This window comes from Homo sapiens, chromosome 10, assembly GCF_000001405.40.
Source record: "Homo sapiens chromosome 10, GRCh38.p14 Primary Assembly".
NCBI lineage: Eukaryota > Metazoa > Chordata > Mammalia > Primates > Hominidae > Homo > Homo sapiens.
The window spans coordinates 112,808,224-112,831,219 of record NC_000010.11 but is presented as its reverse complement, the minus strand read 5'-3'; the positions used below and the strand labels follow the sequence as shown (position 1 = coordinate 112,831,219).

The 22,996-nt window shown below is 48.1% G+C and overlaps 1 protein-coding gene and 1 long non-coding RNA gene across 7 annotated transcripts in view, besides 3 other annotated features; both read right to left on the bottom strand.

The window, feature by feature from the left end:
* VTI1A (vesicle transport through interaction with t-SNAREs 1A) overlaps positions 1–22,996 on the bottom strand; it is a 408,381-nt gene that overhangs the window by 24,149 nt on the left and 361,236 nt on the right. For 4 of the 6 annotated variants that reach the window (NM_001365712.1, NM_001318203.2, NM_001318205.2 and 1 more), the window contains one exon: positions 12,476–15,930. The exons of the other annotated variants lie outside the window; for them this stretch is intronic. Coding sequence is in view for 2 of the 4 variants with exons in the window: in NM_001318203.2 (NP_001305132.1) it covers positions 15,837–15,930 (94 nt within the window). In the remaining 2 variants the exon portion in view is untranslated. Of the gene's footprint in view, positions 1–12,475; positions 15,931–22,996 lie in introns of those variants that run through there. 6 annotated transcript variants of the gene reach the window in all.
* Positions 3,488–7,724, bottom strand: LOC103344931 (uncharacterized). The gene has a single exon (NR_120684.1). It is a non-coding gene; the product is annotated as an uncharacterized LOC103344931 (long non-coding RNA).
* Positions 18,270–18,969: an enhancer, noted in NCBI's record as "OCT4-NANOG-H3K27ac-H3K4me1 hESC enhancer chr10:114572010-114572709 (GRCh37/hg19 assembly coordinates)". NCBI's record gives its function as "activates a minimal SCP1, AML or CMV promoter by ChIP-STARR-seq in naive H9 embryonic stem cells {active_cell/tissue: H9 hESC(naive)}" and the evidence as "EXISTENCE:reporter gene assay evidence [ECO:0000049][PMID:30033119]".
* Positions 18,970–19,668: an enhancer, noted in NCBI's record as "OCT4-NANOG-H3K27ac-H3K4me1 hESC enhancer chr10:114571311-114572009 (GRCh37/hg19 assembly coordinates)". NCBI's record gives its function as "activates a minimal SCP1, AML or CMV promoter by ChIP-STARR-seq in naive and primed H9 embryonic stem cells {active_cell/tissue: H9 hESC(naive and primed)}" and the evidence as "EXISTENCE:reporter gene assay evidence [ECO:0000049][PMID:30033119]".
* Positions 19,669–20,369: an enhancer, noted in NCBI's record as "H3K27ac-H3K4me1 hESC enhancer chr10:114570610-114571310 (GRCh37/hg19 assembly coordinates)". NCBI's record gives its function as "activates a minimal SCP1, AML or CMV promoter by ChIP-STARR-seq in naive H9 embryonic stem cells {active_cell/tissue: H9 hESC(naive)}" and the evidence as "EXISTENCE:reporter gene assay evidence [ECO:0000049][PMID:30033119]".

Genomic DNA, 22,996 nt, shown 5'->3' with positions numbered 1-22,996 from the left:
TGTCTGAAATAATAGAAGTTCTCTCCCATTCATTCATTCATTCATTCAACAATAATCTACTGAGAACTCACTATGTGCCACCCTCTCTTCCGGCACCAAACAATGGAGAAATAAACAGGCCTTGTACCAGCCTCCACAGAGCATGCAGATTAGCTGGGGAGTGCATATTAGAAAAAAAAATGTCTCTACAAAAAATACAAAAATTAGCCGGGCATGGTGGCACGTGCCGGTGGTCTCAGCTTCTTGGGAAGTTGAGGTGGGAGGATCACCTGAGCCTGGGGGGTCAAAGCTGCTGTGAGCCATGATCGTGCCACTGCACTCCAGCTTGGGTGACTGAGTGAGACCCTGTCTACAAGAAAAAAAAAAAAAATATATATATATATATATATATATATATGAGGGTTTTAGGGAAGGTGCCACATGGAGCTGGGGGAAAATGTGGAACTTGAAGCTAATGCCTGAGATGGAGGAAACAGCAGCATGTTAATGAAAATTAGTGACAGACATTCCAACTGTTTTCTCCATCTCCTCGGTTTTAGGAGTGATTTCTCCTGGTCCCTGGTACAGGCTCTGAGTACTGCTCCTGACACCCACAGCCTAAGTGATCCACATAACGTGGATGATGGACACGAAAGAATAAACACAGGAATAAATACTTGAGTATGTATTATGATAAGGAAAAACGTAGGATGAGCAAGAATCAGGTGGACCTTCTTGAGATTGGAGGAAGGTTCAGGGAAGGCTTCTGTGATGGTGTATGTAACCTGAGACAGGGCAGGTAGAAAGAGCTAGCCAAGGAGAAGAGGGAAGAGGAGGAGAACATTCCAGGCAGAGGCTCTGAGGGGAGAAAGAGCTTGGAGTGTTGGAGGGAGAAAGGAGTGAGGGAAGTGGAATGGAGACAGGAGGTGGGGAGACATAAAATGCCTGGCCAGGGGTAGGCGTCAGGTCATGCAAGGCTGGACGGGCCATGGGAAGGAATTCTGATGCGAAAGGCTATGCCAAGTCAGAGGCTTTTGAACCAGAAGGCTCTATGATCTGATTTTCTTTTTCAAATCCTCACCCTGGCTATTGTGAGCTTGGACAACCTACCTAGTACAAGTGGGGAGAACAGCTTGGAGTCTATGGCAGGTGAGAGGTGGCAGCTTGACCAGGGAGGAGGAGAATGGACTAGGATTCTACCAGTGTTCCTGGGAGAGCACAGGTGAGTTATTTCTTCTCTACTTCCCTTTTAATTGCCCCTCAGCAGTGGATTATTTAAGAACCACACAGTGATCCAGGGGTCCAGGATTCCATTTGGAGTCAAGCATTGTGCACAGACTGAATAAAGAACTACATTCTAGATGCCTCACTTTTCACATTCCCACAGATGTTGTTATGAGTTCATTTAAAAGCATCTCATCACAGCATTTATCATTTCTCATAGTCTCCATTTTCTCAATCAATAGATTATTTATTTTTTATTTTTTGAAATGGAGTCTTTCTCTGTTGCCCAGGCTGGAGTGCAGTGGCACAATCTTAGCTCACTGCAACCTCCGCCTCCCGGGTTCAAGCGGTTCTCCTGCCTCAGCCTCCTGAGTAGCCAGGACTACAGGTGCCTGCCACCATGCCCCGCTAATTCTTTTTGTATTTTTAGCAGAGACGGGATTTCACCGTGTTGGCTAGGCTGGTCTCAAACTCCTGATTTCAAGCAATCCACCTGCCTTGGCCTCCCAAATGGCTGGGATTATAGGCGTGAGCCACCGTGCCCAGCCAATCAATAGATTTTTTTTTTTTTTCGAGACGGAGTCTCGCTCTGTCACCCAGGCTGGAGTGCAGTGGCGCGGTCTGGGCTCACTGCAAGCTCCACCTCCCGGGTTCATGCCATTCTCCTGCCTCAGCCTCCCGAGTAGCTGGGACTACAGGCACCTGCCACCACGCTCGGCTAATTTTTTGTATTTTTAGTAGAGACGGGGTTTCACCGTGTTAGCCCGGATGGTCTCGATCTCCTGACCTCGTGGTCTGCCTGCCTTGGCCTCCTAAAGTGCTGGGATTACAGGCGTGAGCCACCTCGCCCAGCCCAATCAATAGATTTTTAAAAATCAATGTTTCAAATGTGTCCTCAAATTTCCTTCAGGATACTGTATGCTGGACATTAGGTAGGCTCAAACCAGCATAAGCGACCAAGACTGCCTGCCTTATCTTTCCAGGTCTCTCTGTGACTGAACTCCTACAGCAGTTAATTGCCAGAGAACTGCTGGGTGTCCCTTAGTACCCTTGGGCTCTGGGGAAGGCAGAGACTCAGTTTTGTGGTTCAAATGCTGCCTTCATGATCCTGGTGCCATGTCTAATATTTATTCTTATGTGTGTGTGGTTTGTTTTTTTTTTTTCTTTTTTGAGACCCAGGTCTCACTATGTTGCTCAGGCTGGTCTTGAATTCCTGGGCTCAAGCAATCCTCCCACCTCAGCTTCCCAAAGTGCTGGGATTACAGGCATGAGACACCATGCCCAGCTCTATTTATTGTTAAAAAATAATTTTAGGCCGGGTGGGTGGCTCATGCCTGTAATCCCAGAACTCTGGGAGGCTGAGGCGGGTTGATCATGAGGTCAGGAGATCGAGACCATCCTGGCTAACACGGTGAAACCCCGTCTCTACTAAAAATACAAAAAATTAGCCGGGCGTGGTGGCGGGCGCCTGTAGTCCCAGCTACTTGGGAGGCTGAGGCAGGAGAATTGCGTGAACCCAGGAGGTGGAGCTTGCAGTGAGCTGAGATCGCGCCTCTGCACTCCAGCCAGGGCAACAGAGCGAGACTCCATCTCAAAATAATAATAATAATAATAATTTTAAAACATTTTTAAAATGAATTTTTTAAATAATGGAGAAATAAATATCTTTCTACCATTAAGGTGTTCTTCCACATACCGTGCGCTAACTGACTGTGCCACTGGAGCTACAGTATGGAATTAAGGCATTCTTTAGGTATCTGAAGCCCAGAATCATGAGGACTCTGCACATACACAAAAAACCCTAAACACCAACAACCCCCCAAGCAATATTTGTCTGCCATGTTACTGAGCAACACATTTAGTCATGATGAGTGTGATGGTTTGTCACATGCCTGGGGGTGTTTTCCACGGCGACCTAATTGAATCTTCATATCAGTCCTTGGGTGGAGTGCTATTTTCTCTGCTTTACAGTAGAGGAAACTGAGGCTCAGTGAGGAGATCAGTAGGTTATCCAGGCTCACCAGTGAGAGAATGAGAGCTCAGATCCAAGTCTGTGATTGCTCTGTAATGCCATATTTTTGGGAAATTAAAGAAAAATAAAAACCTGCATTCAAAAACAACCTTGAATATTATCTTTCCAAGTTTCATCATTTAAAAAAATGACAGCGTCTAATTCACAGTCCAAAAACTGTAGCAGAGCACTGAACTGAAGATTTTGAACTAACCTTCAATTAGAAAGGAAATGGAAGTAAGTGAAAGAATTCAAATGGAAAAGATGGGAATAGCCGACTTTAGAATTAGGCATTTTATTTAACTCATCAAATAATACAAGTTATTCCAGGAAACAACAATCAAAATGTATTACTTGTACTAACGATATGTAGAGCCACATTTCCAAGAAATCTCATGAAAATAAATTACTTGATGGAATAAAGCAAATAAATAGATTTTTTACAAACAATAACCCTGTGAATATTAGAAAAAAAATGTGAGGGTTCTGGGGAAGGTGCCACACGGTGCTGGGGGAAAATGGAACTTGAAACTAATGCCTGAATGAGATGTAGGAAACAGCAGCACGTTAACAAAAATTAGTAACAGACATTCTAACTGCTTTCCTCCATCTCCCCGGTTTTAGAAGTGACTTCTCCCATCCCCACCGAGAGAGGCTCCAAGTACCGCTCCTGACACCCACAGCCTAAGTGATCCACATAATGTAATCGCACCATCATTAGGAACCATGAAATTGCAATTCCTCGGGGAAGGAGCGCGATCGCTCAGTTACACGGAGAAGAGCGATTAATTAGCCGATCTCAGTTTAATGTGACTATGTACTACACGGGTTCTAATCCCACTCTGGAGCAGCTCTCGGGCCTAATGAATTATCTCTAGGAAGCTGAGCTGGAGCCAGAAGACATGACTCAAAATGAAATAAGTGAAATAAGATAAAAGCCAAAACTTTAACATGATATTGGGGAAAAGCTGTAGAAACCAAATGGGAGTCACCTAATTTTTCCTGATCCTGAAATGACACTATCGAGTATGAAATCTTATATTTAGACTCTATTTGAGGCAACTTCATCCAAACTGACTCATTCATTCATGCATTCATTCATTCCATAAGTGTTACCTTAAAGCAGTATTACTTTTTACAGAACGTGACGGGATGCTACTTTAGACCCATTTTTGGGCAGTTGCATCCTCAAACATCAGACAAAGCAGACTGAAAGCTGCAGGTGAAACCTCCATGAGGGTGGCTTAGAAAACTGTTCTGAAATGGGGATGCCTTCTTCCTGGAAACCTAAGTGGAATCAGGATATTTTCCTTTCCCAAAAGGAGGATGTCTCTAAATCCAAACCTAGTTGGCACCCACCCTCCTTCATGCTGGCATCTTTGTATTGAGCTCCCAAATCCTAGGCTTCACCTGAAACTCAAATGGATGGGTGCAGATACTGAGGACTGGTCTTTGCACACTGTGAGACCTCAGCTCTCTGGCCGACTAGTCTTTCCATTTCACAACTTGCTGGGATTCCAGATTAAATCTCTCCGGGTGGTTCTAACTCTGTTCTGTATTGATGGGGCTGCTTTTAGACTTCATTTCTAGAGCAGAGCACCTAGTGAGAGGAATACCTGGGAGAGAGACTGCCTTGCCCATGGTGGTTAAACCTATATGAGGGGACTGAAATCTCTTTGGATGCCAGTCCAGATCCCTTTTTAAGAAAAATGGGCTTGTGGTTCCAAGGCTGAGAGCTGGCACCACACACTGGTTTCTAAATCTCTGGCTTGGATTTTATCCAAGCGCATGTTCCTAACGTGCCCGTGAGCAGGAGGGGCAGGCGCAGTGTTAATGATCTAGTTTACTGATAGACAACTAAATGCCCAAGAGGGTAGGTGGCTCACCAGGCAGGACTGGCTACATAATTTTCAGGACCCACTACAAAACGAAAATGTGGGGCCCCTTGTTCAAACAGTCAGAAAACATGCTTTTTGCTTTCTTCCCCAGTCTCACTTTCAATTTGTCATGGTGTTTTAAATTTGCTAGTTAATACCATTCTAAGTAAAGTCAAAATTTTAAATTATTAGCATGACTTTTACCATTCCTTTTTATATTGTGCAATGCCAGTTTTAACTGGAAATATCCGAATATTGAACATGCATGTGGAATTATCAAAGCGGCACACTGTATTTCACGGTTCTCTCAGGAGGATACCTTGACCTGGCCGGAAGAGACAAGCTGGGCTCCGGAAGGTTGAAAGAAGGAAGAGAGGGTCCTCTCAGGCATGGAGATGACCCCATGGAGTGCTCCCTAGACATGAGGGTTCTCCTGGGGGAGTGCAGACCCCCACAGGCACCCTGGTGACTTGGGGAACACACAAACACTTGAACCCATCTTCTGGCTCCCTTTCCTGTGAGCTGCTGGGCCCACATGTTGTGCTCCAGGCCTAGGGCAGGAGGTTGAGCCAGGCATCCTCCCACAGGCCCCTGCCCCAACCCATAGCAGATGGGCAGCCCCCGGGGCACTACAAATTTTGTACCAGGACACACGAGGTACTGGATCTGGGGGGGGCTAGAGGCTCACCCCCGCAGAGTCCCACATGAAATGTGCCCTGGGCTGCCAGTGCAGGATGGGGACTGCTGCCACCATGCCCCACTCTGAGATGCTGTGGGGTGTGCTTGTCCCCCTCCCCCACAGGGTGTGCCTGTGCCCAGGTTGGGGGCAGGTTGGCAGTGGTTGCTGGGTGGGAGGCAGGGAGGTAGAAGGTGAGTGGAGCTGGAGCTGGAGCTGTGGGGGCAGAGGAGCAAGCAGCTGAGAAGCAGATCCTGGACGCAGGGAGATGGGAGGCTCCATGCTCCCAGTTCACATTCCACTGTCCCATTGGACTTCACTTACAAAACACAGTGACAAAGATAAAATTATTAAGAATTTGAAGACAGTGACTGCAGAGCCTTATTTCCCAAGCGTGGGGCCCTTCTGGGCACAAAGCCCTGTGTAGCTCTACTGGTCACACACCTGTGACACCAGCCCTGCATCCTGGACCACTTAGAAGCTCAGCTTACCAAGTCTCGTGGTCTTCTAGAAGGTTCTACAAACCACAGACTGCCATCTTAGCCTTTGGCTCTTACTTTGTTGGGAAGGTTCCCTTTGCACTGCCATGGAAGGCTGGGAGCTAGCAGAGACCTACCTTCCTGAGAGATTTTCTAGCCCAGCTTTCCCATTTTGTGGATGAGGAAACCGAGGTCTGGAGCAGGGTGTGACTGGCATATAAGGCCACACATCAGGCCACTGGCACAGCAGGGCCTAGAGCCCCGAGACCCGAGGCCCAACTCGGCATGAAAGGTGCCAGCCTCTGGGAAAAGACCAGAGCCCCACTGGTATCCGTACCACGCTGTTCCTGGCTGTGGCCGCATTCCAGCCACAGCCATCTGGACCCAGAAGTGGTATCAGGGTTTCCCTCCAGCTCTATCACCCAGGCTGGAGTGCAGTGGCGCGATCTCGGCTCACTGCTACTTCGGCTTCCCAGGTTCAAGCGATTCTCCTGCCTCACCCTCTTGACTAGCAGGGACTACAGGCACGCGCCTCCACGCCCAGCTAATTTTTGTATTTTTGTAGAGACAGGGTTTCACCATGTTGGCCAGGCTGGTCTCGAACTCCTGACCTCAAGTGATCTGCCTGCCTCGGCCTCCCAAAGTGCTGGGATTACAGGTGTGAGCCACTGTGCCCAGCCGAAAACTGAGTTTTTCTGTACATGTTGGTTTAATAAAAAAGTAACTGGAGAACTTTAGCACCAAGAGTGTGAAGGCCAATACTACTGAGGAGGCCCCCTGGCTCTGTGGCTGGGCCACAGCCCTTCTGAGCCTGAGGGGGCGAAAGACCCAGCCTTGAGTTGCTGGGCAGTGGGTGGGGATGAGGCAGAGAGGATTTGAAACAAAAGTTCCAACCCCTGGTGCTGTTTGAAGTTCCACTTCCTGGTGCAGAGGAAAGACGTCTCACCAGAGGCTGAAGGCATGGAATCTACTCCTGGACCTGTTACCAATTTGCTAGGTGCCATTAAGCAAATCTTGTCCCCTCTCTGAGCCCCCATTTCCCCATCTGAAAATCAGCAGGTAGGCCACAGTGGCCCCCTAGGGCCCACAAAGCTCAAAAGTTTTATAAATCTGAGCTCCTGGTTGGCTCACCCCATCGCCAAGGTGGCTAGCACTGAGCTCAAGGAATGCCGATCCACACTTCCTCATTTCAAAACGCTGCTCTTTCCAGCTCTGTGGGCTTCATCTCCCCTCACAAAGGAGTTCAGAGAGGCCGTCCAGAGGCGGAACATGCGGCTGCATTTGCTGGGATGCCCAGGCTCCTCTGTCCCTGAATGCCATGCACCCAGACATCAAAGTTTCTCTGCTGTCTGGGGGAGGATGGTGCGGGAGGAGGACCAAATCAGCCACGCGCCCCAATCTGGATTCTACTTCTATTTTCCCCTTTCCGCATGGGGGACAGAGAGAGGAGAAGAAGGGGAGAGAAGCCTTTGAAAATGTCTGCTGCTCCATTTCCTCCCCGTTCACTGCTCTCTGCTTAGCAATTCACCTCGCCGGCGGGCCCAGTGACACTCCCGTGGTGCACCTCTTAGCCACTCGGCAACTTTTTTCCCTTTTATGATATTTTGGGCTCCTGATTGCCTGCCAAGTCAAACCTTTAACATTTAATAAGCAGGAGGAAAAAATCCTCCAAGTCGGCCCCGATCTAAACAGTCCCCATTCCTATCCCTGGCCTCTCCTAGGCCAGTCCTGGAAGTAGGGCCAGTGCTGATGGGGACCTGCCCACCTGCAGGCAAGTGTCAGCCCTACTCAGCCTCAGCGGGGCTCCTTTGCTAATGCAGTCATGGGGATTGCAAGGAGGAATGAACATACAGCATTGTCCACTTGGAGAAGATTTTGCCTAGTAATTCACAGTGATGGTGCATTCATCTCAGGGGGCAGTGTAGAAGGTGGCAGAGGCACAGGCATCGCAATGTGATTTTGAGACCCTGAGAATGACCTTGCCCGGGATTGGAGTGAGTCAGGATTCTGGAAAGGAAAATAGTTTTCTGACTTCCAGTGCTGTGAGACTACCTTCTTTCTTTTCTTATCTATCTTCTTCACCATGTGTCTTCGGGGCCTGGAACATAGTAGATGCTCAATAAATATTGATTGAATGAATGAATGAATAAATCTGCTTACACCTCTCATGCTTCAAACAGGGAAAGGCTAGATTATTTAGAAGTCTTGTCGGGGATAATAATGAGCTCAGTGAAGCCCTCTAGTTCTCACTCGAGTTTCTCCCTTTCTTTAGAAATGCAGTGTAGAGCTCTGGAAGGGTGGGTGTGGATGAATGAGAGAAGATGGAAATTGAGCGGAGAGTCTCTGACGGCCACAGTGTCCCCTCTGTGCCAAGACCCCTGGATGTGGCAGTGTGGGGAAGGTCTGCTCAGGGCAGAAAAGAATCCCTTTTGGGTCCTTCCCCAAATGCCAAATTGTACACCACAGCGGATTTGGACTTCCTTCAGCCTCAGGAGGGCCAGAGGAGGGACACAATTTTCCTGCCCCCAGGGTTAGCTGTCCAAACTCCAACCCAGCCTCCCTGCTCTTTCTCGATCCTTCTCAGCCAGGGCATGGCTGTGGGACCTGTCAGGAGACCCTCAACCCATTACTGCTCCTTTGCAGAGCCCATTCTCAGGCTCCCATGTTTGCCTGCATGCAGCCCTAAGCCAGAACGCAATCCTTAGAAGAACGGGGTCCTGGCCAGGGAGTGGGTTTTAAGGCAAGGCTGAAGGCAGCTGATACGGGGCAACCTCCAGGGAGCTGGTCCTAGGGAACCAAGCCCCTCTTTCCTTCTAACCTTTCTCCCAAAGACCACTCAGGCTCCCTCATGTAGTGGGTCTGTCTTCCCCCAAACCCAAAATCTGCCCCCAGGAAAGGGTCAGACAACTCACTTAGAGGGATCTGTGGCTGGTAGGACTGAAGCTGTCTAGGGAAAAATGAATCTGCATTTTTCCAGTGTTCCAGGGCAGAAACCACAGGACGGCCTCTCTAGGGGTGGGGTTTCAGGCATCCACCACCGCGAGGGTGTCACTGCGCAGGGGCCTGGCATCCCTCAAAGGGTCAAGGCCTTGACCACTTCCTGTGTCCAGAAGAGGTGCAAACACGGGGAGGGACAGTCTGGTCAGAGGCTCAGGGAGTGGGGCTGGCAGGCTTTGGTCTCTGCTGGTCTCCCAGCCTGCGGCTGATGCACGTCTGTTGAATTTTGCAACAGTCCCCATCCCTCAAGGAGGTGGTGAGTCCTAGCCATGTTCTTGGCTCCTCTTTTCTGATGGGATGAGACAGGGGAGAGTAACGCGAAAATGTGGTACAGGATGCCGAAGTGCTTGTCAGCGCTGGGGGTATAATAGGGCCCCCACAGGTGTCAGCCCAGGATGCCTCTATGGCCTGGGTCCTTGGCAGAACATTCTGGGGAGAAACTGGAGCGGGAGGATGTGTTCATTCTCAACTCTGTGGGGCCTCGTCACGAAAAAACATTTCTCTCTAACTTAGGTGCTTACCCTGGCAAAATAAGTGAAAAACAGCAAAGTTGCGGTAACGAAGTGGCACTGAGCTGGAGAGGGCCTGGGCTCCCCCAGGTATTGTCCCCTCCTGAACACACCTGGGGGAGGCCGGGGAAGTGGGAGGGGGAGAGGAGGCTGTGCTGAGCGGTGCTGGTCCTGCCCCCAGGAAAAGCCCTGGCAGCTCTCGGCGGAGCCGGGTTTGCAGCCGATCAATACGGCTTCGGAGCCGCTGAGCTATTATTCACGCCAAAGGGCCTTGTTTGGATGAAGGGAAGGAGGGGGTGCGCGAGTTCATGGAATCACAGTCCAGAGCTCTGCTTCCTGGCGACTGCCCCCTCTGTGATGTCTGAGTTCTTCATGTAGCACGAGTAACGAGCGATTCCGGATGAGGAAGTGCTTTCCCCATGGCACACTGGGAGCCCAGGAGCTATGGCCACAGGGGTGTTTGACTGGGGCAGGGGGCCCTGGAGAGATGCACCCTGTCTTTCCCCCTCTTTAGCTCCTCCTGAAGAAGGGCAGTGATGAGCTCAAGGGGGCCTACTTGCCCTTGCTATCCCCTGGTGCTAGAAAAACCCTCCATCCCTCACCTGTCCACCCTCTGCTACCCAACCCCCAACATATCGTGCCCCATCCTGCCATCTTGCTTTTGCCCTGCTCGCCTCTGGTAAGCTGGCTCCTTGTTACTGCGCTGGAATCCCAATAGAGATGGGAACTCACTCTGCACTCCCCGCATCTGCCCTCCTCCACAACAGGACACTAACCCTGGCTCAGTCACTCATTTCAGGAAGTCCTGGCTCCAGTGACAGACTCTTGCTGCCTGGGCCTGGCTGCTCTCATCCATCTTGGGTGCAATATTTGTGGCTTCAGGAGCTTTTCTGAGCTGTCCACGCAGTCACCTGCCCTGTTTAACAAAGACTGGCATCTGGGCTGAGAGCCACCTGACTGCTGACATTATGTGGCCAGCCTCTGGCAGGTGCCACTGGTCTGAGTCTGATGGGTCACAGGCAAAGTGAAGCCACCAGAATATCTCTTGGGGGCTAGTTTAGAGTTAGAGAGTTACTGCATAGGGTGAGGTTGAGTTTGAGCTAGTCTCAGGCAGACCCTCAACCAGGGTCACTGGGAGTTGGACTGAGGATGGCTCTTCACAGAGCCAGCCTTCCTTCCTTTCTTCCTTCCTTTCTTCCTTTTGGAAAAATGGCTCTTGGTACCTTTTCTGTTGAGGTGTGAAGGCCATCCCAAGGGGGACAGATTGTCATGTGGCTAATTTATCCTGGATTGAAATGGAGGCTTGAGATCCTCCAAAGCCTGGCATGTCTGCTGTTCCTACGCCCATAGTAACCAAAGAGGCTTGAGGCCAGGTCCCACCTGGCTCGTGCCTGCCAGGCAGGTACCTCCCACGCCGTGGCTCCTGCAGGACCATCTGTCCTTGGATGGGTGATGCTGAGAGATGCTACACTGAGCAAGGAACGTGCACCATCTCTTCCCCTCACACCCATGGTGGAGCTACATAAGGGGCCTGGTCCCTCTGGGGATGGGAGAAAGGAACTTCCCATTCCCTGATATTGACCCAACACCCCTGCCCTGAAGTGTCAATGAACCGGGCCTCTGAGGGTGGCTTCCATGGTTATATAAACTCATCAAACAAACAGGCTGAGCAGACATAGACAGCAGCCATAGCATGGAGAAGGCCACTGACTTCCGATTTAGGATGAGGACGATGGGGCTTTGTCCTCCCTGGCCCTTCAAGCTCATGGTCCATGGAAAAGAAGAGCCATTCACCAATAGCAAGTCACAGAAAGGAAAAAGGACAGAAGGCCCATCTCAGCAAAGTGTCTCCCTGTTGCATATTAGGGAAGCGCTGTTTGTAATGAGCTCCAGTTGACGGCACGGAGATGCCCAAGACATACCCCCAATCAGACCCTCCCCAAACCAGCCAACCAGACACACATCTTCCTTTAAGATGTCTCTACTGGCTCTCCCGCCTGCCCACATCCCTGCAACAACACACCCAGCCAAAGGGGAAGGCAAGTGGCTTGGAGACCAGGGACTCACGGTGGTTCCTCTGAAACCAGCGCTGACCACAACCAACCAACAGAACTTGGCTCTGAACTTCCCCTCCACACACACGTTTCTCCCAGGAAAGCCACCTCCACTCCCAAGCATGGAGTGCCTCACTAGGCTAGCAGTTCAAACCAAAGGGATGAGGAAATCATCACTCCTAGTTAATTCTCCACTACGTAGACAAACTGCTATTAATATTTACGATGGGAAATTTCATTATTTAAAAATTCTGCCCTAAATTTCCAGCTCACTCCATGAAGAACGCCTGCTGAACAGGTTGCAAATTAAGAACAATTATTTTTCTCTTCTGCATTTGAATACAACTTACAGCTAAAGTCATTTAAAGGGGTTAACATCAACCTTAATTAAATATTAAAGTGTGCCTGTACCTGCTGCTATTGTTGCCCCTTCGAATAAGATATAACCTATTTTTGACAAGTTTTCATCTTTCTCTGTGGAAGACGCTACATGAAACCAAATCAGTGGCAAAGAGGAGAGTAATGAATAATCTATTTCATATTCCAACAGTACCCAGAGCTCGGAGTGGAAAAATATTCAGTCAGATGATGGCAAGAGGCTGCTTGGGGTACCACATGACACAGCTAATGTTTAAATAATAATAATAAAAAAAAGCGATAAACAAATCATTAGCCCTTAACAGTTGTTTAATGCAATTTGTTAATGAACGTAATGGTGGGGACTAATAATGAAAGAAAATAAAAACGTCTAAACAGGCGCCAAGTTGCTGGCAATGCGCAATTATTTCCTTGTCAAGTTTTTATGATTTAATGAGCCCCTCTGGGACTGACGGCTGTCAGTCAGTCGTGACTTTTTGACACCATTACAACTTCAAATACAGCAGCAGGCAGGCTGTTTTCCTCGGATTTGAAATACTGAAATGATCTGACAGTTTTAAAGAAAAGATGTGCAAAAAAAAAGGAGAAAGAGAGGGAGAGAAAGACAGTTGCTTTTCCTTTCTTTCTTTTTTTTCCCCTCCCTTCTTCTATGGGTTGATAATCTCTGGATGCTGTTTGGTAATGAAAACCCAATCACTGAGGTCATTATCTGATGAGGTTTTTGGAACAGGCAGGCTTTTTTCCCCCTCTTTATTTCTTTACTTAATGATAACCCTCAATGGGCTTGCCCCGCATGGGATGGCCAGAGCCGCACAATTTTGTTCACCATTAATTTCAGCCTTTGAAGCTCAGGGCTCAGAAGCAGTAGCAAAGCAAACCCCCCACCAAGCTGGTTCCAAAATAAGACAATCCAGCCTGCCTTAAACAGAATAGCAAATGGCCTCCCAGCCCAGGCCCGGCAGCTGACGTCAGACCCACTGCATTTGCAGGCATTCGCCTTCAACACGGATCATTTAAAACTCTTTACAACTTAAGAGACTTTAATTAAATTGCTTTTGATTCTGGAGTGGGGTAGCATCCACTTTATTTATTCTGTCAGGGAAACTGTTTAGTCTGCATGAATTTTATATGGCAAGGGCTTCCTTCTCTTCTTCCTCCTCCATGCCTTCATCTTCCCCCCAACCACTCCCTTAAACATCATTTTTAACAAGGGCTCCCAACTTGAGAAATATTCGTCAAAGTCTACACACTAAGTACCTAGAACCTCTCACAGATCTACTTCACTATCTGCTTCAAGTCTGTGGACGTTATTCCTTTCCTGGTGGGGCAGGGAAGGAAGGAGAGCAATTGGCCTCTGCTGGGGATCCCCTAAGTCTTTTCTGCAGTGTCCAGGAGGACCAGGAAGGAGTTGAGGGAACCTTCTGACCAGCTTCCTCACAAAGCACTCACTAGCCTGGCCTAGGTAGTTGCTCTCAAGGAGGTTTGATGGAGCTGTTAGGCCAAGGGTTATCTGTTCATATTCTTCCCACTCCCAAGGTTGAATTGGGGTAAAATCACAGGCAAGAGCTGATAAAGACATAGAACTTGAACGAAAAAAGCTATTGAGAGGTGAGCAATGCCCTCCTCCTTTCTCATTTTGTCTGCTTCAACATGAACGCCAGGATTCAGTGAAATATTCAGGAGGCGGCCAGTTTAGATGATCCGATCAACCTTGCTTGCTAGGTGGCCTTGGGAAGAGTCTGCTGCATTGTGGACGGGATGGCCGTGCGAAGTGCAGCTGGTAACTGGTTATACACTTTAGCTAAGATCAACAGTTTTGAAGGAAGCCACCAGAGGGGCTGGTGTAATACTCGATGACTATTCGTGTGTCGGAATGAGAAAAGGGTTGTTTGTTTGTTTCCTTGCTTTTTAATGGTTCTTAGATGTGGTCAGCACGTACAGCATTCCGTTATCAGAATACAAGATTCTTGCTGAGACGGATCCCTTAAGCTGACAGGAAAATTAGCATAGCTTCCTGCTCCTTCTCTGTCCTGCTTCCCTCGGCCAAAATCCCACACCATCCCTCCGAAGTAAAGGCTGCAGCTTTATTTACACAATACTAAATGATTTATCCGAACACATGCAGGCCTTGGCCTGTTTCGATAAGTGCAATTTCTCTGGTGGATTCTGCCATTCTGCATTTCCTCTCTAAACCATAATGGTTTTCTTCTGAGTTGGGAAAAATATCAAGCACTACATCCAGGTGATATTGATCCACGGGCACAGGTGGTTAGCATTTTTGATGAAGAGAACAGGTTTGCTTTTCAAGGATTCAAAGCTTCTAATTATATTCCAAAGATAGTACGGACCAGTAAGTGCCTATGAAGTCTTGAGAAAAACATTCTGCTTTGTGACTGGGGGGAAACGACCTCAGCTTGGGCAACTTTTAAGCCTGATCACAAATGAGCTCATTTTGAACGCAATTCCTGGTTACCTCAGACAGAAAGAAATGAAAGAAAAAAATCACAAAGCATATTAGAAGTTTGAATACATAGTGAATTCAAGAAAGGCTTGCTAACATTTGTTAGTTAAAAACCCAAGCCATTCCTTTTGGAACAATCTGCCATCCTCTATTCTTTTAAAGGAGGTTAGGGAACGTTTTCCGTGAAGTTTATCTCTGGTGGACCCTCCTATAGGACTCTCCCATATTTATAATCACATTTGAAATTTCACACTGATGGAGTCATGTTCTTGCTCTTACTGAAATATTCATGGTCTCTTTACATACTGGAATGTATGTGGAGAGAACCTTGTCAGACCTTTTGCAAGTATGAGGACTGCTTTTGGCAGTGCAGATATTAAAACCGAAAGGATACAGAGATGCTTACACAGGTCAGGGAAGACGAGGTCACAATTAAATCCTGTACCAGGGCTCACTTTGCCAGCAGATTCTGGGGAGTATGGGATTTGGGGAAGGCAAGAAAATATTTCTTGTAGCCAGTAATCAAAGTTGTGAACAGTGAATACTGGGCAGGCTCAGCAAAAAAAATATCTTTGGGTTAAAAAAAAAATTATGCAATAGAAAAACAGGGAAAGTGCTAAGTCAATTTCCTGTACAACCGACATTAAATACCGACCTTTACAATGAAAGCACTCAGGCAGGTTGATGACTATATTCATGAGGCCTGTGTAGGAACAGGGCTGGCTTGCTGGACGGGGTCACTGACTCCATCCCCTGCTTTTTGCTGCATTTTTATCCTCAGACATCACAGAAGAGCTTTTCAGCAACAAGAGGCGGGTGACAAACAGAAGCTCTCGTGACTGACTCATCATGTCCTCTCCCAAACCACGGCCCTTGACACGTCCAGAGGGCTAGGAGTGTCACTGGGGCTATTTTGGCTAGTTGATGACATTAGCAAAAAGGTAAATAAACATTCACCTTCCCCTCTAAAAAACGAATCTGGGTGAAGACAAACCTCGAAAAGGAAACCAACCCACATGCAAACAGGAATAGAAAATATTTTTACACTCTTTGCACTTCAGCCCAACGGCGGTGAGGGAGAGAGAGGGTCACCTGGGGCCTGTCAGCGCAACAGAATGATTCATGTGACCATTTTGTCTTAATTACTCAGAACAAGCTGTTGTTGCTGTTTATCAAGGGAGAGCAGATACATCAGTGTCTTCTGACAGAAAAAGTGATCGCCATCAGGATGGTGATGACCACGATGATCCCTAGGATGACGAGCAGGATGCGGTTCTGGATGATTCTAGGAGACAGCAAAGGAGAAAAAACACACACAGATAAGTGGAAGGCCTTCCCACAAACGCCGTCCGAGGCCAGGTTGGCTAATCAAACGGCAGCTTTGCAGGTGGGGGTGGGGAGCGTGTGTGTGTGTGTGTGTGTGTGTGTGTGTGTGCGCGCGCGAAAGAGACATCACGCAGCTTTCTGGTTCTACAAACGATCCACGAGGAAACGAAAGGCTCCACATGATTGTCACGCTGCCCTCCGAGAAATGCTTACTGCAAAGCTAAGGCGAATCAAATGGCTTTCGAGGCTCAGAAAATCATGTAGCCTCTTTAAGTGATCAAGGGCCCCTTGCGAGCTTCTCTTTCTAATTTAAAAGGCGAGACAAGCCTCATTTTTTGCAGTGTTTCCTGTTAAAGTAAAATACTCCAAGGAAACACATGTCAGCAATGTACTTACCTGCACAAAAATACCTGGGGAAAAGTAAAACAGAGACTAAGGAAGAAAAGGATGGGATTAAGAAACAAGTGTCAAATGTGCAGCTTAGGCTGTGAAACCATCATCTGTCAGTGTGGCTCACGCTCCGTTACGCTAGGAGGAAACGTTACATTTGCTCCATAGCAAAAAAGATGGAAATGAGAAATATACAATGTACTCAAGGTGCCTGTTGTGCGTCTGTTGCTGGGCCTTTACCTCCAGGGATTCTACCTCCCTGGGTTCTGGCTGGGCTGCACGCTGATGGGGAACCAGCAACTTAGAAGGGGGACCAGAGTGGAGACACACGCTCCCAGATGCCTGCAGAGAGCTTCTGATGAGGTTGTTTCATAATTTGTTACCTCATTCGGAGAAAAGAGGTCGAACATCAGAATGCTTTGTTGAGAGTTTCAAAGGGAACCTAGGTCAAACAGCCGTGCCCACGCTCGCTCTCACAGAGCTGCACGGAAATAGAGACATGAGCTGGCTGGCAGTCTAGCCAGCTATCTGTCCAGCTTAAAACCCCACGGCAAACCCCATCCAACCCTCCTCCAAATACCAAGCAGCAAAAGGCCTGCTGCCCTACTCCAGTCACCAAACACTGGACATGGGTCTTCCATGGGGAGGAGCTGGGGAGATGAAGCTGGGCTCCCCACGGAACAGAGACCCCACACCCCTACTTTGTATCTTCACACACAAAAAAATCTTTGCAGGGTATTTTCTACTTCCTAGATGAGTTTATTTCCTGGAAGGATGACATCAGGTTGTAGTTTTAGTCAGATTCCTCCTCACCCATCCCCTTCTTCTCCAAACCTAAACGGTTGAATGGAAACTGTCTTATCAGACCAACCCACTCCCTCGTGGCCCCCTAAAAGGACGAGCTCTCTCTCCTCCTGACAGGTAACAAAATGATCACATTTGCTGACACGTCTTCCGCAAAACTGCCTTAGTGCCTCTGTCCACTCTCCTCGCAGGAGATGAATGGTCCACTTGGTCCTCATTTATCACTCAAGGCTTGGCTAAGATCTGTCTCGTTTAGTTCTTCCCTTCCCCACTAGAAAGTCTGCACTCCGACATTAATTCTTCTGTGATGACAGCTAATTCAGACTTAACAGGCCACACTTACTCAAGAGGCAGGAAGATTCTCTGTCCCCCAAATAAATAAATAAAAACAGGACTTCATGGCTTATGATAGTGAGGCTAATTATCAACACTGATCGGTGCTACTTGGTGGCTCTGTTTAAAACCCAAATTGATTTTTTCCCCCTTTTCTCTGGGAGGGACAGGAGCCTTCAGAATGGTCCCTACACATCCCATTTGCCCAAGTCACTGTCAAAATCTCTATTTACCACAGTCACCCGCATCAGACTTGCAAAGGAAATCAGCAAAATTGAAACTCAGCAGTGAAACAGATTAAAAGCATGAAAACTCTTTAAAATTCTGCCTTAAGTAATCTACAGTAGTGTGTCTCTTGTACAGCTTGGTTGACAACCATTTTATTTGTGGGTTGAGGGCCCCAAGGCATCCATGATGCTAATTTAGAAAGGATTAACTGTGGGTGTTACTTGTTCAATCTGAGGCATGGTAAGAAATATGAATACACAGGAATCCTTAAATCCTCAGCTCTTCCCTAACCTTCCTAATTGGGCTTCACCCCCTCCTTGGTGCACCCACAGGGCCTGGTGGCTTCCCCTCCACCGCCCGCTCTGTTGCTTCCAAGGGCCCAACCTGTGTGGACTGGGACCATGTGGAATTCACCTCTACCACCCCAGCACATGGCACAGTCGCGTTGCACACAGGTACTCAAAAGAGAACTGCCCAAAGAGTGATCGTGAAAGAATGCAGTCTCTGGTAACTGTAATCTTCCATTCAAAGGAGAATGGAGAAGTCTGTGCAATTAATTTGCAGGAAAATCTCAGGAAGTCTGCATGGAAAAGGTTAAAGTTCAAAGTTGAAGCAAGCCCCGTCAAAGATGAAACTTCCTACCATCACGCCTTCTCAGCACTACTTGGTCTTCCCCCTGAAGCTAGAAGGAACTCCTTTGTGCTGGGTGGGGGCGGGGTGTCAGCAGGAAAGGGCATTTGCTTTCAAACCAAATGCTGGCAGACATTTGGGAGGAAGAGTAGAAGGGGATGGGGAAAGAGTTGGAATAGAGAGAGCTCTAAGCAAGCTTGACTGGCTGGGCCATCCACCCCAACCTTGGACCTCAAAGGAGTTGTGCAAATGTGATACCCCTCAGGACCAGAAAAGTGAACTGTCAGGGCATCTGGGTGGATAGGACTGAGCCAGTTTGGAAGGGGGAAATACAGGCTGGCATTGGTGGGCCCCATCTGTGAGGAAGCTTAGTTGCAATCGCAGCCAGGGGCTGCCGGCCTGTATTGCTGTAGGCAAAGCAGAAAGGAATGCAGAGCTCGGAGACAATCAGAAAAACCAGCTAGGCCAAGGGGTTCCCAGCTAGTGAGATGGCAGCGAAGGAACTTGGGGAGAAGCCCAAAGTAACTTCCTCCTAACTTTGGGCAAGGGGAGGGCTTTATGTTGAACTAGGTCTGCAGCAAGCCGTCTTAATCTCCCTTTTGAAAATGCAAAGTGTGTTTACCCAGTAAATAATTTAAGAAAGAATATACACTTGAAAGAAGACATCCATTGAAACAGCCAGGCTAAATTGCCTCCAGGCAAAAACTTGTGCATTTGCATGCTGCATTCTATTAAGTGAGCACACTGTGGCTTTAAAAGAATGCAGAGCCAAAATAAAAGGAATGTGGGCCCGAAACATCAAGGATTCTCCAAGTTTACATTATGAATCACAGTGCTGTTGATACAAGATGAATTAACCATTTACTTTGAGGCTGAACTCACAAAGTACTATTGAAAGTACTGATCCCCATGTGGAACTCAGGGAGCGGTTAATCTTTCCATTGCCAGTCTCCTCCCAGCCTGGAAACGAGCTCCTGCGTGTGGCAGCCGGAATCACAGAAGGCTGGTTCCAGTGCAGGGGACAGGCGCGGCACTGCACCTGGCACAGTTCTCTGCTCTTGCTCGAGGAGCCCAGGAATTCCACTGGAACAGGCATTACGAGTGTTCTCCAATAGCCAGTTCTCCTCTACTTCCAGGCATGGACTGCACTCTTTTTTTTTTTTTTTTTTTTTTTTTTTTTGAGACGGAGTCTCGCTCTGTCGCCCAGGCTGGAGTGCAGTGGCGCAATCTCGGCTCACTGCAAGCTCCGCCTCCCGGGCTCACGCCATTCTCCCGCCTCAGCCTCCCGAGTAGCTGGGACTACAGGCGCCCGCCACCACGCCCGGCTAATTTTTTTTGTATTTTTAGTAGAGACGGGGTTTCACCGTGGTCTCTATCTCCTGACCTCGTGATCCGCCCGCCTCGGCCTCCCAAAGTGCTGGGATTACAGGCGTGAGCCACCGCGCCCGGTCTGCACTCACCTTAATGTTAGGCTTGGTCATGGAACTAGCTTTGGCTAAAGAAATGAGAGCAAAAGTTCTGAGTGTCACTGCCAGCTGGAGGCATCTAACTTCCAGTGTTTGTCTCTCTAGCGGGCTCTTCCTGCGGTTTTGATTTGGGGAGGGAGGGGCTGTATTGTTCCAGAGAGTACAAGTTATAGGATGGTGGTAACATCTTCTGCCTGGATCCTGCAGTCATTATGTAAAGGGCCACTGTCCTGGAGATGCACCTGGACTCCCAGTGGACTTGCGTTAAGCCATTGAGGACTGGGGGTTGTCACTGCCGAATACCATAAGCTCTTTTACCCTGAGTGATAACGCTACCGTCCGCCTCTCAGACAAGACGAGGCATCTGGCCAAGCCAAGAGAGGCTCTGGTTTCATGTATTTCAGAAGCTAAGGTATGATGAAGACTGATAAGATTTTTTTTTTCTTGAAGAACAGGTTTTTGCCTCTTGGTTTTCAAAAGCTGGGAACCTCTTCTGACCTCTTGGTCACAACACTTTTCACTGAAGAATCAGGAGCTTCTTCCAGCCAATGCTCCTGTGTATTGATGACTGATGATATCATGCGTGAGGCCTCACCAGGCCTAGCCAGGCATCCGCTTCCTGTGTACAGCAGATCTACAGTGGCTGCGTTCGTTTCCCTATTCCAAACAGCTGATGCTACCCCAGCTCCAGGGGTACAGCTGTGACTGAGGCTGAGATGGTCAGTACATTCCATGCCCCTGGCCATGGTAACTGGACCAGGAGCAGGCTTGTGACTTAAGTCCATCCAACAGAGTGGATCTCAGCAACTTTGCTTGAAATGCGGGGTCACCTGGACAGTTTGGTGTGTGGATGTCAGGCTGGATCCACTGCAGGCCTTTTGATTCATTGAGGGAAGCCAACCTAAGAAAGAAGCTGACCCACAGTGGGCAGAGAAATAGAACCCCAGTCCTGAAGACAGAGAACTTTAATTTTTAACTTTTTTTTTTTTTTTTTTTGAGATGGAGTCATTCTCTGTCTCCAGGCTGGAGTGCAGTGGTGCGATCTCAGCTCACTACAACCTCCCCCTCCCAGGTTCAAGTGATTCTCGTGCCTCAGCCTCCCAAGTACTTGGGATTACAGGCACCTGCCACCATGTCCAGCTAATTTTTGTATTTTTAGTAGAGATGGGGTTTCACCGTGTTGGCCAACCTGGTTCCAAACTTCTGACCTCAGGTGATCTGCCCATCTTGGCCTCCCAAAGTGCTGGGATTACAAGTGTGAGCCACCATGCCAGGCCGACAGTGAACATTTTTTTTTTTTTAAATCAAACCACCCTTTCTTTGGACTTTAACTTATATGAGAAAATAAACTGACTTTATTTTCCAAAGTCAGTTTGAATTGGGTTTTCTGTTATTTATGACCAAAAAGCATTTTTAGGTTGAGTCACCCTGATTCCAAAACCAGGTCCTTGATCTACGGCATATGTGCATTCTTCCCTCCTCTTCCAAGAGGCATTTCCTGGCTATGTCCCTCTCGTATTCTCCTATCTCCCTACACATCTCTCTTTCCAGTACATTGACTACAGTCCCCAGTAAAAAGTGGACCTTCCACAGTCCGAATTTCTTTTGTCTTTTGTATCCCTGATGCCTAACACACAGCTTGGCATAAATGTTCTCAAAACATGCTTGCTGAGTGAAGAAATGAGAGACTCTACCTACACGTGCTCAGGGTCACGTGGTTATTGCTCTCCTGGTTTCTAAGGACTGCTTGTAGATAAGCACAGCTTTAGGACTTAGCTGTTAGCCACTGTCCCATTAAGGATGCCAGCGGAGTCCCAACTTTTTTACAAGCCTGTGTTCATTAGCTGGAGAGTGGCAGACACTTTACAGGTTCAGAGCAGCATCCTGTACCTGCCTTCCTGCCTGGCCGACTGGCCCTGAATAACGATGCCCCACTTTTGGGGTCTGACAGAACAGTAACAATTAGCAACCGTGAGAGCATAGGATAAATTCTGAGCAGAGGAACCCGGATCTGCTTCTCTCTAGGCACTTCCCAAAACATGGGCCAAGGGAAAGCTCTTTAAATTCTATATCCAATTCAACGTTACTATTCACCAGAAAGAAATGAAAACAGGAGTAGGAGAAACAGTTAATTGTCATCTGCCTCAAACACTCACTTTAATTGGAAGGGTTATTTTCAGAGCTGGGGACATGTTTGCCTCTGAGCTAGAGCTGTGCGGTTATCATGCTGCCTGATAATGCCCATCTTGGGTCTTCTATGTCCTGCATCTCTAGGAGTAATCCTCAGCCCCATCGCGAGAATTCAGGGAGGCTGATCCCACTCTGATTCCACAGATGGACATATGGCCCAGGCAGGCCCAGCCAATGACAGCTCTCTAGCTCTTGCACTACCATTTGCTCAAGGATTGGTCTGCCACTCAAGCCAGATGGAATTCCTCTTGGGATTCTTCCTGGAAAATCAAGAAAAAGATACTGTCTTTACTGAGATTGACTGTCAGGACAGTGAGAACCTGGAGCTGCCAAGGACCATTCTTACTACCATACCGGACGAGGCTGCCTGAAAGAAGCCGACACCAGAGGAATGCAGAGCCGAGAGATAAAGAAAAAGAGACGGATTCCTGAAGACATATTTGAACCCCTGCTTCCTGCTGTGTGCCTGAAACCTGAAGAGTCACACTTCAGCTTCCCAGTTACAGGAGCCAAACAATTCCCCATTGACTGCAGCAAGTATGGTTGGGGATTCTCTCGCTTTCTTTTTTTTTTTTTTTTTTTTGAGATGGAGTCTCGCTTTGTCGCCCAGGCTGGAGTGCAGTGGCGCAATCTCAGCTCACTGCAACCTCCACCTCCCGGGGCCAAGTGATTCTCCTGCCTCAGCCTCCTGAGTAGCTGAGATTACAAGTGCTGCCACCACGCCCAGCTGATTTTTGTATTTTTAGTAGAGATGAGGTTTCACCATGTTTGCCAGGCTGTTCTTGAACTCCTGACCTCAGGTGATCTGCCCACCTCAGCCTCCCAAAGTGCTGGGATTACAGGCATGAGGCACTGCACCCAGCCTCTTACTTTAAATCATACTGATTGTACTGGATTGAACAGTGTCCCTGCAAATTCATGAGGTTCCACCTGGAACCTCAGAATGTGATCTTATTTGGAAATAGGGTCCTTTTTATTTTTTAT